At 43.0% G+C, this 16,889-nt stretch overlaps 1 long non-coding RNA gene across 1 annotated transcript; it reads left to right on the top strand.

The window, feature by feature from the left end:
- Positions 1–1,530: 1,530 nt before the first annotated feature.
- On the top strand, positions 1,531–13,750 carry LINC01646 (long intergenic non-protein coding RNA 1646). The gene is made up of 5 exons (NR_147025.1): positions 1,531–1,673; positions 2,514–2,636; positions 12,321–12,618; positions 13,127–13,222; positions 13,383–13,750. It is a non-coding gene; the product is annotated as a long intergenic non-protein coding RNA 1646 (long non-coding RNA).
- The last annotated feature ends 3,139 nt before the right edge of the window (positions 13,751–16,889 follow it).

Raw genomic sequence — 16,889 nt, forward strand, 5'->3', positions numbered from 1 at the left:
GGAGGCTGAACTTCTTGTAGTTAGCAGCTGATTTCCAAGGACCGGAGGACCCCATTTATGTGATCTATAATTGACTTGCCAATTACCAATCTGTCTTATCTGCTTTTCTGCTAGATTGAAAGGCGGGGACCTCATGTAGGCTGGGACCAGCCTGGTGCTTAATGCTCAAAGATATTTGCTGATTGAAAAAATGAGTATGTTTTAGTAAAATAAGCGCCCCAGGGGAAACACTTAGTTTTGGTGATTCAGTATGCTATTTGACAAATTAATCTCTATTTCTTTTAAAACACGCTCTATTTTAGACTTTTCACTAATCTAGATTATTCGTTCTCAATAGGAGTAATCTTGCCCGCCCCCACCCCGGAGAAACTTGGCAATATCCGGAGACATTTCTTGTTGTTACAAATTAAAGGAATGGGGGAGGTCCTGGCATAGTGGGTAGGGACTGGGGATGCTACTGAACATTCTACACTATACATGGCAATCCCCGCCCCTGCAAGGTATCATCTGGCCTCAATGTCAATGGTGCTGAGCTTGGGAAACCCTGACTAGGGGGCCTTCTTCCAGTTCACCTAGACAAGGGAGCTTGGGGTGTGTGAGTTTCTGGTTAGAATTTCCGTGGTTTTCAAGTATTTTGGCTCTTGAAGTATTTTGTAATTTCTGCTGTCTGTCCATCATCTCGGACTCCAGGGGTTTCATGAGACAATGAAGAGGAAAGCTTACTCATGACCATATTCCTGCAGATGAGCAGGCCTAAAGGGGGAAAGGAAGGGACCTCTTTTGCTGCCAGTGAACTCCAGCATCCATTGAGCAATCTCATTTTTACCACCAGGTGGACTTCCCCTAGGCAATGGTACCTAAAAGTGGTGGGCGTTTTTCAGAGCCGCTCTGTCCTGGACAAACACCAAAGGGACCAGAAGATGAACAAAAGCTGATGCAATGCAAGGATTAGAGCCCTAGAGAAAGGAGGGTCTGAAATTGCTCCTAATTCCTGGCATTCCTGGCATGAAGCAGAGGCTGAATACATTATCCCCTTGTGTTGATTGGAAATTTGTTAACTTTTGCCATCTTTTTCTGTCTGTTTGGCCAAGGATTTCATAAAACACAATTTCGTGGCTATGAAAATGTGCTTGAGAATGTGTCCCATGGTGATGACTTGGAGCATATCATGAGGGTGCAGAAATACAAAATGAAGTGGGGGGGTCTCACCTTCTCCAAGAAGCTGAATGATCAACCCACTTGCGGGTGTGCATTCATCCCCTGCTCCCAAGCAGGTGGAGACTGCTGTGGGACGTCACGCTCTGCATGGTGATAAGCTTTGCCATCGTGTTTACCCAAACAAGAGGTCAAGAGCATGGTTTTGGAGTGAGACAGAAGTGCAGTCACACCCCAGCTTCATATGTGTGTTGCCCACATCGCACAAGGAGCCACTTCAATGTAGCACACCTCATTTCCTTAAAATGAGGATAATAATGCCTGGCCTTTCTGGTTGTCATGGCGATGGAGATAATGTGGGTATAATGCTCATCCAGATGGGTGTCTGCCACAAGGGAGGCCCCAACAGCGATGGCTGCAAACCCTTGGAGGTGGCATTGCCAAAAGCGGACGTCAATAGATGTAATGCAAAAATAGTGTCTTGTGTTCAAAAAAGGTTGGGAAATACTGAGTGAAAGGTAAGCAGGTTTCTTTTTCTTTCTTTTTTTTTTTTTTTAACTGTAGGACTTCTCAGAATCATTAATATGCTAATGTAAATTAAGGCTCTCCAAGAGAGATAAATAGTGGGCAGCATTTTCCAAATGTATTTTATTCATTTCACATAATTATTATGTTCATATATATGCAAAACACTGTTTGAGATGCTCAGGATGCTGCAGGAATAAGACAGACAAAGTCTGCTCTCTTGTAGGTTTCATCCTAGCGAGCAGATAGGAAGGGAGGGAGGGAGAAGGGCAGGAGGGAGGAAGGAAGAAAATACATTAGGAAGGGAAAGGTCAGTGCAGAGAATCAAAATGACTTGAGATAAGGGGTGGCCACCTCAGCTGGGAGGTCAAGGCAGGACTCCCAAGATATTTTAGCTGAGGACTCTGGGACCCAGATGCCACCAAGGGGCAACCAGGGCAAAGAACATTCCAGGTAGCAGAAGCAGCTCCTGCAGATGAGCTGCAGCAAGAATGAGCATGATGTCTTCAAGGAAGAGAAAGAGAGTGACCGGCAGGTGTAGAGCAGGGGAGGGGAAGAGTGGCAGGAGGTGGGGTCAGAGAGGCAGGAAAGCCCCAGTCCTGCAGGATTTGATGTGGGTTTGAGAAGGATCCCTCTGGTTGCTCTGTTATGAGTATCACAGCAGGTGGGCAAGGTGGAAGCAGAGAGACCATCCAGAGGTTGCTACAGAAGTCCAGGTGGGAGGCAACGGGGGCTTGAGACAGCGGCAGCAATGGAGGTGATGAGCGTGCATCTCCTAGAGATGTGGTGTTGTTTCAAATACACAGTTTCTACTTAAATGTTTGTTCATACAGAATAGTGCACAAACCATAGGCACACAGCTCAAGGAATTATCAGGAATTGAACATGTCCACGTGTGCCCAACCCAGCTCTCCAGCACACCTTCCCAGCCTCAACCCATCATCTGGATTCTGAGGGTAACCAGTATCTCAAGTTCTAAGCCATAGAGTAGGGTATGCCTCTTTTATAATTTGTATAATGGAATCATACAATACGTATTTTCCCACAAGTGACTTTTTTTGTTCAACATGGTAAGTGATTCGTCCAGTTGTCAATTGTAGCAAGAATTTACTCGTTTTTGTTGCTGTATAGCTTTGCGTTGTTCAAATATACCACGATGCACTTTGCATTGGAGATTTGGGTTGATTCTTATTTTGGCCACTATGAGTAAGGCCGTTAAAGTATACACTCGTTTCATGTACACCTAGCAGTGGAATTTCTGGGCCACCGGATACGCACATTTCAACTTCAGAAGATACTATCCAACACTTTTCCCAAGTGGTTGCACCATTTTATGCTTCCACCAACAGGCTAAGAAGTTTTCAGTTTCTCCCTACTTGGTATTGTGACTTTTTAATTTTAGCTATTCTGGTCAGTTTATAGTGGTATCCTCTCATGATTTTAATTTTCATTCCCTGGATGATTAATGAGGTTGAGCATCTTTTCGTGTTTAATGGACCAATTTGAATATCCTCATTTGTGAAGTGCCCATTTAAAACCTTCGGCCCATTTTTCATTGCATTTGTCTTTATAAGTGCTTAATATGTGGATGTTTATTTTTTTAAGTTCTAGAATTTCATTTTGATTTATTTTCACAGTTTCCATTTCTCCGCCAACATTCTATATCTTGTTCTTAAATTTCCTGAACATATTAATCACAGTTACTTTAAGGTCTGTGTCTGAAATCTCAACATCTGTGAATCACTGTGGGCTTGTTTCTACTGTCTGTTTTTCTCTTGGTTTTTATTTAATTCTTGCATTTTGTTTAATGCAATAGGACACTGAAAATAGGAGGTGTTTAACAGGGCTTCCTGTGATGGAAAGGTCCCGAATTTTAATTTTGTTCCCCTAACACTGTGAGATTACCAAGCGCTCTGTTAGCCTCTCAGCTTCCTAAACACCACTTTCTTCCTGGTTTTTCAACCTCCAGACTTCTGCTCATAAATCAGGAGCTGCCTGCACAGAGAACACAGCACTACATGGGGCTCCTTCTCTGTTTTTCTCCTTGCTGGAGGTGGGGAGGGAGATGACCTAATCAGGCTGTAACCAAGCCCTTGCAAGTCAGGATTTATGGTTCTGTTGCTGCTGTTGTTCCTCCTCCCATTCCTTTTTGGAGGTCTGGGGGAGGCCAGTCTACTGATGGTGGCTCTTACGCCCAGGCTGCAGCCCTTCCTGGTCTGAAGTTGACACCCAGCGTGCTTGCTGGAACACCTCCTCCTCCTGGACAGCCAGGTCCCTCCTGGACAGCCAGGGCATCTTTCACACCCACTGTCTGCCCCAGGAGCTGCAAACAGCTCTACTCATCTTCTTAGTCTCTCTGCCACCCCATTTTTTTTTTTTTTTTTTGATACAGAGTATTGCTCTTTTCGCCCAGTTTGGAGTGCAGTAGCACAATCTTGGCTCACTGCAACCTCTGCCTTCCGGTTTCAAGTGATTCTCCTGCCTCAGCCTCCCAAGTAGCTGGGATTACAGGCACCTGCTACCATGCCCAGCTAATTTTTGTATTTTTAGTAGAGACGGGATTTTACCATGTTGGCCAGGCTGGTCTCGAACTCCTTGTGATCTGCCCACCTCAGCCTCTCAAAGTGCTGGGATTATAGGTGTGAGCCACCACACCTGGCCTCTCTGCCTCCTTTTGTCAAATCAGCAAATGCTTCAAGTGGAAAAGTCAGGCCACAGCCCTGGCTTGCCTTCTGGAGTGAACCTGTCTCTGGGATCGTGGTCCCACACTTCCCTGCTATCTCCGTTGCTGTCAGATGCCTTCAAACAGACGTTTTTGGCTTGAAAATGTATTTTTTTCTAATTTCCTACAAAAAGACATTTTTCTATATAAAATTTTCTATACTAAAGTTGTTCTGTATGAGACGTCCTAAAGAAGCTTGTCTATCATCTCCAGATGTGGAGCTATGTTGAAAGGAGAGCCAACAAGATAACATAAGAGAGTGTGTGGGGGGGTGAGAGAAAGCAGGGAGTCAAGGATGGCCAAGGTTTGTGGCCTGAGAAACTGGAAGGATGGAGTTGCCATTCCTTGAGGCAAGTTGGAGCAGGATTTGGAGTTAAATTTTGGACATGTTGAATTTGAGATGTTGGATCTCCCTGCAGAGCTGTGGACCAAGCATTTGGATATTAAATCTGGAGTTTGGGTGAAGGATCCTGGCGGAATTTGCAAATGTGCACACATTGAGCCTGCATTGGGGCTGGAATCTGGACTTTCTGAGAGGGTCTTGCCTGAAGATGTAAATATGGACTCATTGGCATGTAGATGTTATTTTAAACCATCCAACTGACTGCATAGAGAGTGGATACTCTTGAGAAAAGTACCAAGGTCTGAGTTCTCTGGCTCTCTGGCTTTAAGAAGCTGCATATAAAAGTATATAACATCTAGTATCCTGTATCTTGCTTAGTTACTTAACATTATACTATAAAATAAAATGTTAAAAAAAAAGAAGCTGTGTAGATGAAGAGAAACCTCAAAGGAGGTGAGAAGGAGCAGGCGCTGATGCAGCAGAGAGACCAAGAGCATGTGCTGTGTTGGAAGCCAAGGGAAGAAAACCACCAATGAAAGAAGAGAAATCTATTTTCACAAAAGGTGGCATCAAATAGGGAGAATGTGTTACTAATTTCTGGGACCCTCCAAAACTTATAGGTCAATCAAAGAGTGAGGAGCTGACAGAAGAGTTTGAGCCACAGCTTCCTGCGAGACAGGAAAAATCTGGAAGAGTGAAGGGTCACAGGAGTCAAGAGGAGATGTGTTCCAAGGAGGAAGTAAGACAAAGTGAGTCAAATACACCGAAATTCAAACAAGATCAAACCATAGCAGCACCACTGTCTTTGCAATTTGGAGGTGACTGGTGACTTTAACAAGAGTAGCTCAGTGGAATCATCAGTGGGGACAAATGCTCCTGTCTACGACTCCGCTCTTCCACTCTCCACGTTCCCTCTGCCTTAGGCCAACACTGTGGCTGGGAATATCCTTTACTTGGGGTCATATTTCAACCCTTCATTCCCGAGGGATCTGAGGCCTTGGTGGGACTGCCCATCAACAACAGCTCTAGTTTCTTTATTACCATTGGGCTTAGTAGTACTAGTAGGCACCAGGGGATCCCCTAAATCCCATTCCCCTCCTTCCCTTCACTGTTTATCATTGTTCCTGTTTGATGGTCAAGATCCATCACTTGAGCCAATGTCATAGTTTTTTTCTGGTAGCTTAAGGAACACAAAATGTCTTTGTGAATGGTTACTTGATTCTACTTGGCCCTTTCTATAACTGTAGGTCTTTTTTTATTTTTATTTTTTTTTGAGACGGAGTCTCGCTCTTTTGCCCAGGCCAGAGTGCAGTGGCGTGATCTCGGCTCACTGCAAGCTCCGCCTCCTGGGTTCACACCATTCTCCTGCCTCAGCCTCCCGAGTAGCTGGGACTACAGGCGCCCACCACCACGCCCGGCTAATTTTTTGTACTTTTAGTAGAGATGGGGTTTCACTGTGTTAACCAGGATGGTCTTGATCTCCTGACCTCGTGATCCACCCGCCTCGGCCTCCCAAAGTGCTGGGACTACAGGCATGAGCCACCACACCCGGCCAACTGTAGGTCTTATTTCATGGATCAGAAAGGCATTGTGGGGATTTTGCTGTATTTCTTCCAACTAGAAATGTGCTCAGAAATTACGTTGGTTCAAGGTGCCCCTGGACCTACCTTCAGAACAGGGATTAGTGCAAAATTCCATGCGTCATGTGACACTCATGATCCCCCAGTCTAACATGAACCCTGAATTACTGTGAGCTTGGTCCATGTCCAACAATCCCTGAGTCTGAGTCTGAGCACTTGCCTTTGCCCAATGCATAGACAACTTGCTAAAAGGTTGCTGGTTCTTTTTGGAGAGAGCTAGGAGGATGATACACATTTGTGAGGTTATCCCCAGATTGATTCTCCAGGGTGTGTAGCTAGCTCCTAATTCAAGAGATCCTGGCTCTATGGACTGACTTAGTTCAGAGAATTTGGTGAACGCCTGCATCATTATGGCTCATTTTAAGTTCTGTTCATCAGGGCTGTACCAGTTGAACAGGCTTTTTTTGGAGCATTTTTATGAAGCCACATTTTTATGAAACTACATTTTTATCATAGCCATATTTTGAAGAAAGTAAATCTATTATTATTTTTTCTCTTTTTTCTTTTTTTTTTTTTAAATTACTTTAAGTTCTGGGATACATGTGCAGAACGTGCAGGTTTGTTACATAAGTATACGTGTATCACGGTGGTTTAGTGTACCTATTGACCCAACCTCTAAGTTCCCTCCTTTCGCTCCCCACTCTGCAACAGGCCCTGGTGTGTGTTGTTCCCTTCCCTGTGTCCGTGTGTTCTCATTGTTCAACTCCCACTCATGAGTGAGAACATTTGGTGTTTGGTTTTCTGTTCCTGTGTTAGTTTGCTGAGGATGATAGCTTCCAGCTTCATCTATGTCCCTGCAAAGGACATGATATTCCTTTTTATGGCTGCACAGTATTCTATGGTATATATGTACCACATTTTCTTTATGCCTATCACTGATGGGCATTTGGGTTGGTTCCATGACTTTGCTATTGTAAATAGTGCTGCAATAAACATACGTGTTCATGTGTCTTTATAGTAGAATGATTTATATTCCTTTGGGTATATACCCATTAATTAGATTGCTGGGTAAAATGGTATTTCTGGTTCTAGATCCTTGAAGAATCCCCATACTGTCTTCCACAATGATTGAACCCATTTACACTTCCACCAACAGTGTAAAAGCATTCCTATTTCTTCACAGCCTTGAGAGCATCTATTGTTTCTTGACTTTTTCATAATCACCATTCTGACTGATGTGAGATGGTATCTCATTGTGGTTTTGAGTTCCATTTCTCTAATGATCAGTAATGTTGAGCTTTTTTTCATATGTTTCTGGCTGCTTAAACATCTTTTTTGAGAAGTGCCTGTTCTTATCCTTTGCCCACTTTTTGATGGGGTTGTTTGCTTTTTTTCTTGTAAATTTGTTTAAGTTCCTTGTAAATTCTAGATACTAGACTTTTGTCAGATGGGTAGATTGCAGAAAAATTTCTCCCATTCTGTAGGTTGTCTGTTCACTCTGATGATACTTTCTTTTGCTGTTCAGAAGCTCTTTAGTTTAATTGGATCTCATTTGTCAATTTTGGCTTTTGTTGCAATTGTTTGGGGCATTTTTTCATGAAGTCTTTGCCCATGCCTATGTCCTGAATGGTATTGCCTAGGTTTTATTCTAGGGTTTTTATGGTTTTGGGTTTTACATTTAGGTCTTTAATCCAACGTGAGTTAATTTTTCTATAAGGTGTAAGGAAGGGGTCGAGTTTTAGTTTTCTGCATATGGCTAGCCAGTTTTCCCAGCACTATTTATTGAATAGGAGATCCTTTCCACATTGCCTGTTTGTGTCAAGTTTGTTGAATATTAGATAATTGTAGATGTGTAGTGTTATTTCTGAGGTCTCTGTTCTGTTCCATTGATCTATGTGTCTGTTTTGGTACCAGTACCATGCTGTTTTGGTTACTGTAGCCTTGTAGTATAGTTCGAAGTCAGGTAGCTTGATGCCTCCGTCTTTGTTCTTTTTGCTTAGAATTGTTTTTGCCATACAGGGTCTTCTTGGATTCCATATGAAATTTAAAGTAGTTTGTTCTAATTCTGTGAAGAATGTCAATGGTAGTTTGATGGGAATAGCATTGAATCTATAAATTACTTTGGGCAGTATGGTCATTTTCATGATATTGATTCTTCCTATGTACGAGGATGGAATGTTTTTCCATTTGTTTGTGTCCTCTCTTATTTCCTTGATCAGTGGTTTTAGTTCCCCTTGAAAAGGTTTTTCACGTCCCTTGATAGCTGAATTCCTAGGTATTTTATTCTTCTGGTAGCAATTGTGAATGGGAGTTCATTCATGATTTGGCTCTCTGCTTGTCTATTGTTGGTGTAAAGGAATGCTTGTGATTTTTGCACACTGATTTTGTATCCTGAGAGTTCGTTGAAGTTGCTTATCAGCTTAAGGAGTTTTGGGGCTGAGACGATGGGGTTTTCTAAATATAAAATCATGTTGTCTGTAAACAGAGACAATTTGACTTCCTCTCTTCCTATTTGAATACTTTTATTTCTTTCTCTTGCCTGACTGTCCTGGCCAGAACTTCCAATACTACGCTGAATAGGAGTGGTGAGAGAGGGCATCCTTGTCTTGTACTGGTTTTCAAAGAGAATGCTTCCAGCTTTTGCCCATTCAGTATGATATTGCCCATTTACAATTGCTACAAAGAGAATAAAATATCCATGATATGATATTGGCTGTGGGTTTGTCATAAATAGTTCTTATTATTTTGAGATATGTTCCATCAATACCTAGTTTATTAAGAGTTTTTAACATGAAGCGATGTTGAATTTTATCAAAGGCCTTTTCTGCATCAGTTGAGATAATCACGAGGTTTTTGTCTTTGGTTCTGTTTATGTGATTGATGTGCCTATGTTGAACCAGCCTTGCATCCCAGGGATGAAGACGACTTGATTTTGGTGGCTGTTTTTTGATGTGCAGCTGGATTCAATTAGCCAGTATTTTATTGAGAATTTTTGCATCAATGTTCATAGGGGATATTGGCCTGAAGTTTTCTTTTTCAGTTGTATCTCTGCCAGATTTGTAATCAGGATGATGCTGGTCACATAAAATGAGTTAGGGATGAGTCCCTCCTTTTCAATTGTTTAGAATAATTTCAGAAGGAATGGTACCAGCTACTCTTTGTACCTCTGGTAGAATTCGGCTGTGAATCCGTCTCATCCTGGACTCTTTTTGGTTGGTAGGCTATTAATTACTGTCTCAATTTCAGAACTTGTTATTGGTCTATTCAGGGATTTGACTTCTTCCTGGTTTAGTCTTGGGAGGGTGTATGGGTCCAGGAATTTATCCATTTCTTCTAGATTTTCTAGTTTATTTGTGTAGAGGTGTTTATAGTATTCTTTGATGATAGTTTGTATTTCTAAGGGGTCAGGGGTGATATCCCCTTTATCATTTTTTATTGTGTCTATTTGATTCTTCTCTCTTTTCTCCTTTATTAGTCTAGCTAGCAGTCTATCTATTTTGTTAATTTTTTTCAAAAAACTAGCTCCTGGATTCATTGATATTTTGGAGGGTTTTTTGTGTCTCTATCTCCTTCAATTCTGCTTTGATCTTAGTTATTTCTTGGTTTCTGCTAGCTTTTGGATTAGTTTGTTCTTGCGTCTCCGCTCTTTTAATTGTGATATTAGGGTGTCAATTTGAGATCTTTCTAACTTTCTGATATGGGCCCATTTAGTTCTATAAATTTACTTCTTAACGCTGCTTTAGCTGTGTCCCAGAGATTCTGGTGTGTTGTTTCTTTGTTCTCATTAGTTTCAAATAACTTCTTGATTTCTGCCTTAATTTCATTATTTACCTAGGAGTCACCCAGGAGCAGGTTGTTCAATTTCCATGTAATTGTGTGGTTTTGAGTTTCTTAATCCTGAGTTCTAATTCGATTGCAGTGTGGTCTGAGAGAGTGTTATGATTTCAGTTCGTTTGCATTTGCTGAGAAGTGTTTTACTTCCAATTATGTGGTCAATTTTAGAATAAGTGCCATGTGGCACTGAGAAGAATGTATATGCTGTTGATTTGGGGTGGAAAGTTCTGTAGATATCTATTAGGTCCACTTGATCCAAAGCTGAGTTCAAGTCCTAAATATCCTTGTTAATTTCTGTCTTGCTGATCTGTCTAATACTGACAGTGGGGTGTTAAAGTCTCCCACTATTATTGTGTGGGAGTCTAAGTCTCTTTGTAGGTCTCTAAGAACTTGTTTTATGAATCTGGGTGCACCTGTATTGGATGCATATATATTTGGAATAGTTAGCTCTTCTTATGGAATAGTTTCCTTTACTATCGTGTAATGCCCTTTGTCTTTTTTATCTTTGTTGGTTTAAAGTCTGTTTTGTCAGAGACTAGGTTTGCAACCCCTGCTTTCTTTTCTTCCCATTTGCTTGGTAAGTTTTCCTCCATCCCTTTATTTTGAGCCTATGTGTGTCTTTGCATGTGAGATGGATCTCCTGAATCCAGCACATCAATTGGTCTGGACCCTTTATTCACTTTGCCAATCTGTAAATGCTGCCTATTTTGTTCTTAGAGTTCCCAGTATCAGTTATCTGCCCCTGATGATTTATTTACATCAGAGTATTTGGTTATATTTTTGGTGCCTAGGTTGTAAGTACATCCACTTTGCACATTCACTTTGCCTGGATGGTATTCAGGTCCTCTGCCTCCCAGGACCCTAGAATTCATATTTAAATTAGATAGCATAATTTAATGGTAGCAACTTCTGCATCTTCAGCCTAAAGACAACTGTTGTTGTCACCATTCTTTTTAAAGATTCAGGTGCTTCCTTCAACAAAGAATTTATTTCTTTTTTCTTTCTTTCTTTCTTTTTTTTCTTTTTTTTGACAGAGTCTCACTCTGTTGCCAGGCTGGAGTGCAGTGGCATGATCTTGGCTCACTGCAACCTCCACCTCCTGGGTTCAAGCAATTCTTGTGTCTCAGCCTCTGGAGTAGCTGGGACTACAGGTGCCCGCCACCACACCCAGCTAATTTTTGTATTTTTTGTAGAGACAGGGTTTCACCATGTTGGCCAGGATGGTCTCGATCTCCTGACCTCATGATCTGCCCACCTTGGCCCCCCAAAGTGCTAGGATTACAGGCATGAGCCATTGTGCCCGGCCCAAATAATCTCTTAATGCCTTGGCAAAGGGAGTGTTCTGAGCCCTCGTGTAGAAAATAATTTGGGAGTGAGTGAGTGAATGGGAAATCCACTCCAGTATTTGAATCTTCCTAGTCTTAGATTTCTTCCTCTATAGTAGTCAAAAGAAGGCTGGGCCTCTGGTGAATTATTGGGTCAGGGTCTATTCAACCAACTCATCAAACAATCACAATTTTCAGAAGTTTGACCTAGCACATTGAAATCAAAATCTCTGGTACCAGCGCTCATACTGGGAAAATAAATCAGCCTGTTCAGTATTGTGTTCTCCCCAGCTTGTACGAGAACCTCAGGATCTAGCACCCTTCCCGTTTTCTCATCCCTGGACATTATCCCTACCCTTAGTTTTGTGACTATCAATTGCTTACTATTCTTTAGGCATTTACCATGTTTTAAAATTACCAGACAATATACGGAATATTTGTATGCTTTTAAACTGATGCATAAGTGTTTCTGTATTTTATGTCGCTCTCTGGGTCCTGGTTTAAATATCCAAGATTAGAGTTGTGATATAATATTTTTCTGATACAAATAAATGCAACCTTGCAGTTCTTTCAGTATGTTAGTTTATAATTGTTCCCGCCATGGACAAACTAGGTTTTGAGTCTCGTGAAAGGTCTGGAGAAAAGAAGGGCATACTCGGGCCTGGCTGACTCTCACAGTGGTTGTTGGTCAAGACAATTACAGTATCTTCAAGAAGGCAAGAGTCCACTCCATGAGAGAGGGAATGTGGGCTTTTGGCTGTCAGGGAAGCTTATGGGGGTTCAGTGGCCCAGGGTCCTCTGATTCAGCAGTCTTCTCCCATGTATCGCCTTTCCAGTTCTTGGCTCCAGTGAGGACGTTATTGCTGAGAATTAGATGCTGAAGTTGGCACCATCAAATAACTAGTCCTGGATGCATGTCACTAGTAGCAGCCATCTCACTGCCTCAGGAACTCAAGTTTACCATGGTCACCATGGCCTTGGAGAATACTCACCTCATCCTTTTTGTGCATCACTCGCTCTCAATTCTAAAAAAGGAGAGAACATCTGATTGGCAAAGCCTAGGTGATACAAATATCTGGAATTCTCATCTTTTGTAATGGGAAGTAACTCTGCTTGCTGTTAAGATTCACAGAGGTAGGAAATTTTCCAAGTGTAGGAAAGGCAAAGCAAGGCAGCCAAAAAGAATGGCAAATGTCTACCACTTCCCAGCAAAATTGAGACTGTGTTTTCTTCTCTTGCTGGTGAAAATAATTTTTAGATTTTAATTTTAAAAAAGCAAAAATTAAAATTTCATAGAAAGATCCTGATGTATTTGGTCATGATGGTGACAAAGCCCAGAGAGACCCACAAGCTGGGTGATCTTTCATCCATCCAAGTCCTTATTAACTGAAAATTAATTATATGGTGTGCATCCTGCTGAGCCCAGGAATCCAGGAAAAATTAACCCAGAAATGGTCACAGGCTCTCTATGTGGAAAGATATAGAACAAATAAGTGGTACAAAGAAACACACAATTGAAAATATCATAAGAACAAGGAAGAAAAAGTATGTGTTGTTACAAGACTCTAGAATAGAAATCTAAACTTGTCTTGAGCTCATCACCTCTCTCTCTCTCTCTCTCTCTCTCTCTCTCAACTCTCAGTAAATAATCACCAGCTCCTGGAGGGGCTCGTGGGTAGGTATGGAGAGAGATGAGCAATGGTCTACACAGATGACAGAACATATCCACATCCCTAAGGTAGGAAGAGACTCAGTAAGTTCTGGGAAAAACTAGCTGAGTATAACACAGTGAACCAAGTAGACAGAGACATATTGTGGAGCTGAGAGGTAGGTTCTAGATATTTGAGATAAAACCAGGGAAGTGATGAGGAGCACATGGTCTATTTGTGGTCTCTTAGCAGCTTTGGAGTAAACCAGAGTAAAAGCAACCAAAACAGAGTCCAAGTCAGGGTCCTTCCATCCTCAAACCAGGCTCCAGTGGTCTGCTCTAGCTCAGGCGTGATTAGATTTGCATTTTAGAAAGAAACTTTGGCTACCACATGGAGAAATAATGAGGAGAAGCAAATGAGAAGACCGCCCAAAGCAGCAGTTCTGGCAGGAGATGGGCACTGGGTCTCCTAGTTGGTGGCTGAGTGCAGATGCTGGCAGGATGTCCTGAAGGTAGAATGGAGTGCATAATTCTGCAGGTGTGATGTATCTTCAAATATTAGAAAAGCAGGAACATGCTGAGAGCGAAACAGAAAAATAAATCAAAAAGAAATCAAAAGATTTATTTCTAGAGTATATAGAATACTATAGTTCTGTTGTTTTGGAATCTTCCAACCCTGTGCTCTTTTGGGGGCCACTTCTTGGAGTTTTAGTCAGGATTCTCCAGAGAAAAAGAACTGATAGGATGTGCATATATATATATATATATATATATATATATATATTTTTTTTTTTTTTTTTTTTTTAAGGAATTGGCTCAGGCAATGGTGAAGATTTGGCAAGTCCAAAATCTGATGGAGGAGTCTGGCGGGATGGAGACTCCGAAAAGAGTTGCAGTTTGAGTCAAAAGGCAAGCTGTCAGTGAGCTAGGAAGAGCCGACGATGTTGCAGTTCAAGTCCAAAGACCCTCTGCCAGCAAACTTCCCTCCTGCTCGGAGGAGCTAAATCTTTTGTTCTATTTAAGCCTTCACCTAATTGGATAAGGCCCACCTGCATTATGGAGCTCATCTGCTCTACTCAAATCTACTAATTTGAATGCTAATCTCATCCAAAAACACTGTCACAGATACATTCAGAATAATATTTGGCCAATATCTCGGCCCAATCAAGTTGACACATAAAGTTAACCTCCACAAGGGCTGCATCTGAAATCCTAGATGGGAACACTTCGGAGAGGTACCAGCAGGTTCCTCGACTCACTCCTAGGGCCCCTTGTGCTAAGGCTTTTCTGTGGCTCTCAAGCCATTTCCAGGAATTGAGTAGAAACTCTCTCTCTCTCTCTCTCTCTCCCCACCCAAACAATATTCCCTGAAAGCTATTAATTCCTGCAAGCAGGAGCTCAACTCAAACAAATGTTTCTATAAATGGCCAGTCAGCAATGGGCGGCTTGGGAGATGTGGCATCTTGTCCCTGGGGACCTTCAGTAAGAGAATGCAAATCATCTGTTCCGTTGCGTCTAGCCAGGGCACCCACTGGCTTATGCAGGAGCCTGCGCCAGATGTTTTCCTGAGGTCTCTTCTTGCTCAAGGATCTGATGACACCAACTCTTCATTTCTTCTGAATCAACAGCTGCTGATTTCATTCAAATAATCTAATTTGAAATTCTGTTTCTGGAACACAGACAGCTTCATCCGCCCAGGCAGAACAAAGGAAGTGGAACAGGGGCCTTAATAGGAGATATTTTGAGTGTTTTCAGACATAGAAGTCAACAATCTGTTCATTCATAAGGGCTCTGACCTCTTGTTTTGAAGGAAAACAGGAAAAACAAGCTGGGTACAAAGAACATAAATATTTTACTTTCACCCATTCTCCAATCTGGGCTGAAACAGGAAACAAATGTCTCCTCTCCACCTTCCCCACCTCCAAACACATCTGTGAGAAGCAACGTGGAGATCAGATGATGGAAGTGGATTTAAAAAGTAATTTGCCACTTTTCAAGAAATATAAGTTGCAGATGCATCTATTCATTTTAGGGAGAAGAAGGGGGGTACTCTGGGATTCTTAGGGGAGCTTTTGGGAGAGACGGCATTGTCTCCTTCCCATGTGGATGTGTGGAGTCAGCCAGGAGGGAAGGAGGCATGGTCACGGGAGAGGAGGGCAGGCAGGCTCTGACAAGTGCATATTGGGGTCTCGGTGGAGATGCCCAAAGGATCTACCCCACAGGCAGTGAGAGTCTGGAAACGCACGGTTGGAAGGCTGCACTGAGCTTCACATCGGGGTCTGCGTGAAGCGCCCCATCTCCTGCCCCTGGTGGCGCAGCTCGGTACTGCCTCTGCGTCTCCTCCCTGGCGGGGTGACTGCGGCAGCCCCGGAACTGCCTTACCACAAAGGCCAGAGGCACGGTCTCATCCCATTGCAGTTTCGGGTTCTTCTGGGAAATTTCCAAAGGAAGGACTTTCCAAAGGACTTTCCCAAGGAAGGTCTTGGCCGGATCAGGGATGGTGACCGGGACAGCACAGCTGGTCCCCGCTGAGACCAAGGCAAGGGTTGGTACTGTGAGCTACTTAAAGAGGTGAGATTATTTAAATCCTTTTTGTGGGGAAAAAAAACTGAGACAGGTTTTCCCATGATTGCAAAAATGTCACATCACTTTTTTAAAATCAAAAATTAAATGTACATGATGATAATATAGAGGGGATTGCTGCCCCTTGGCACCAAAGTCATCCAACATGACCTGGTCCTAGAAGAGGAGGCAGCTGCCACAAGCACAGCCGCACCCACATCCTTGCTCCATCCCCTGTCTGGAATCAGGAGAAGGGCTTCCTTCCACGCTGCTTCCTCCCTGGGGATGTCTGTGCAGGAAGCCTAACTATTCCATTAAACCGGCAGGGGCCTTGGGAACCCGCCATGAATCAGGCTTGTTGTCGGTACCAGCCACGAGGATAAATAATGACCCTCTTTTCAAGGAGAACACAGTTTTGCAAAGAAAACAGATGCATGTTGTATTGTCATTTGTAAAGCAAAAGGGAAATCAAAAATATGCTGGAGGAAGCAGAGGAGGACTGACCAGGCTTGTGGGAGGGTGCTGAGGAAGGCTTGCAGGAGAGGGAGCTTCAGGAGAGAGGATCAAGGGAGTCTAAGGGGATCAGGAACTCCCTGTAAAGGCTCAGAGGACAGAAGGAAGACTGTGCATTGGATGCTACTGATTCAGGAGGGTGAAAGGGATCATAAGAGGTGAGATGGAAACTCAATTTGGAGGCAGAATGTGAATACCCTTCAAAGGCAGACAAAGACGTTTAGACAGCAGAGCAAAGGTAGAGGCCCATTCCCCTGATGCAGTCATTTGGAACACCGGGTTGAACTTCTGTCCAGCAAGGCAGAGATGAGAGCTGAGTAACGGGACCTGGCCTGGGAACAGAGGGTCCACCTGTGGGTTCCTGATTTCCCAGCACTAGACCATGAGAAGTCTTGAGCAGAGATCACCCTCAGCATCCAGAGGTCCTCAGAAGGGCACATCCAATGTTGCTCATTTATTCACTCATTTATGAATTCATCATTGATACAGTAAAGCCCAGCAGACCTACATTTCCCTTAGAGGAATTCAAGCTGTGTGAGCTCAGTGAAGAGGAGGGAGACTAAGAGAGGAGGCAGGCACGTCCTCCCGAGAGAGAGAAACGTAGCCTCAGTGGTGAGGTGGCCCCTGCCCCGCCCCATGCTCTGCCAGAGAGGGGCTTGGATCTGCTGCCCCCAGCCAGGCC

This window comes from Homo sapiens, chromosome 1 (assembly GCF_000001405.40).
Source record: "Homo sapiens chromosome 1, GRCh38.p14 Primary Assembly".
NCBI lineage: Eukaryota > Metazoa > Chordata > Mammalia > Primates > Hominidae > Homo > Homo sapiens.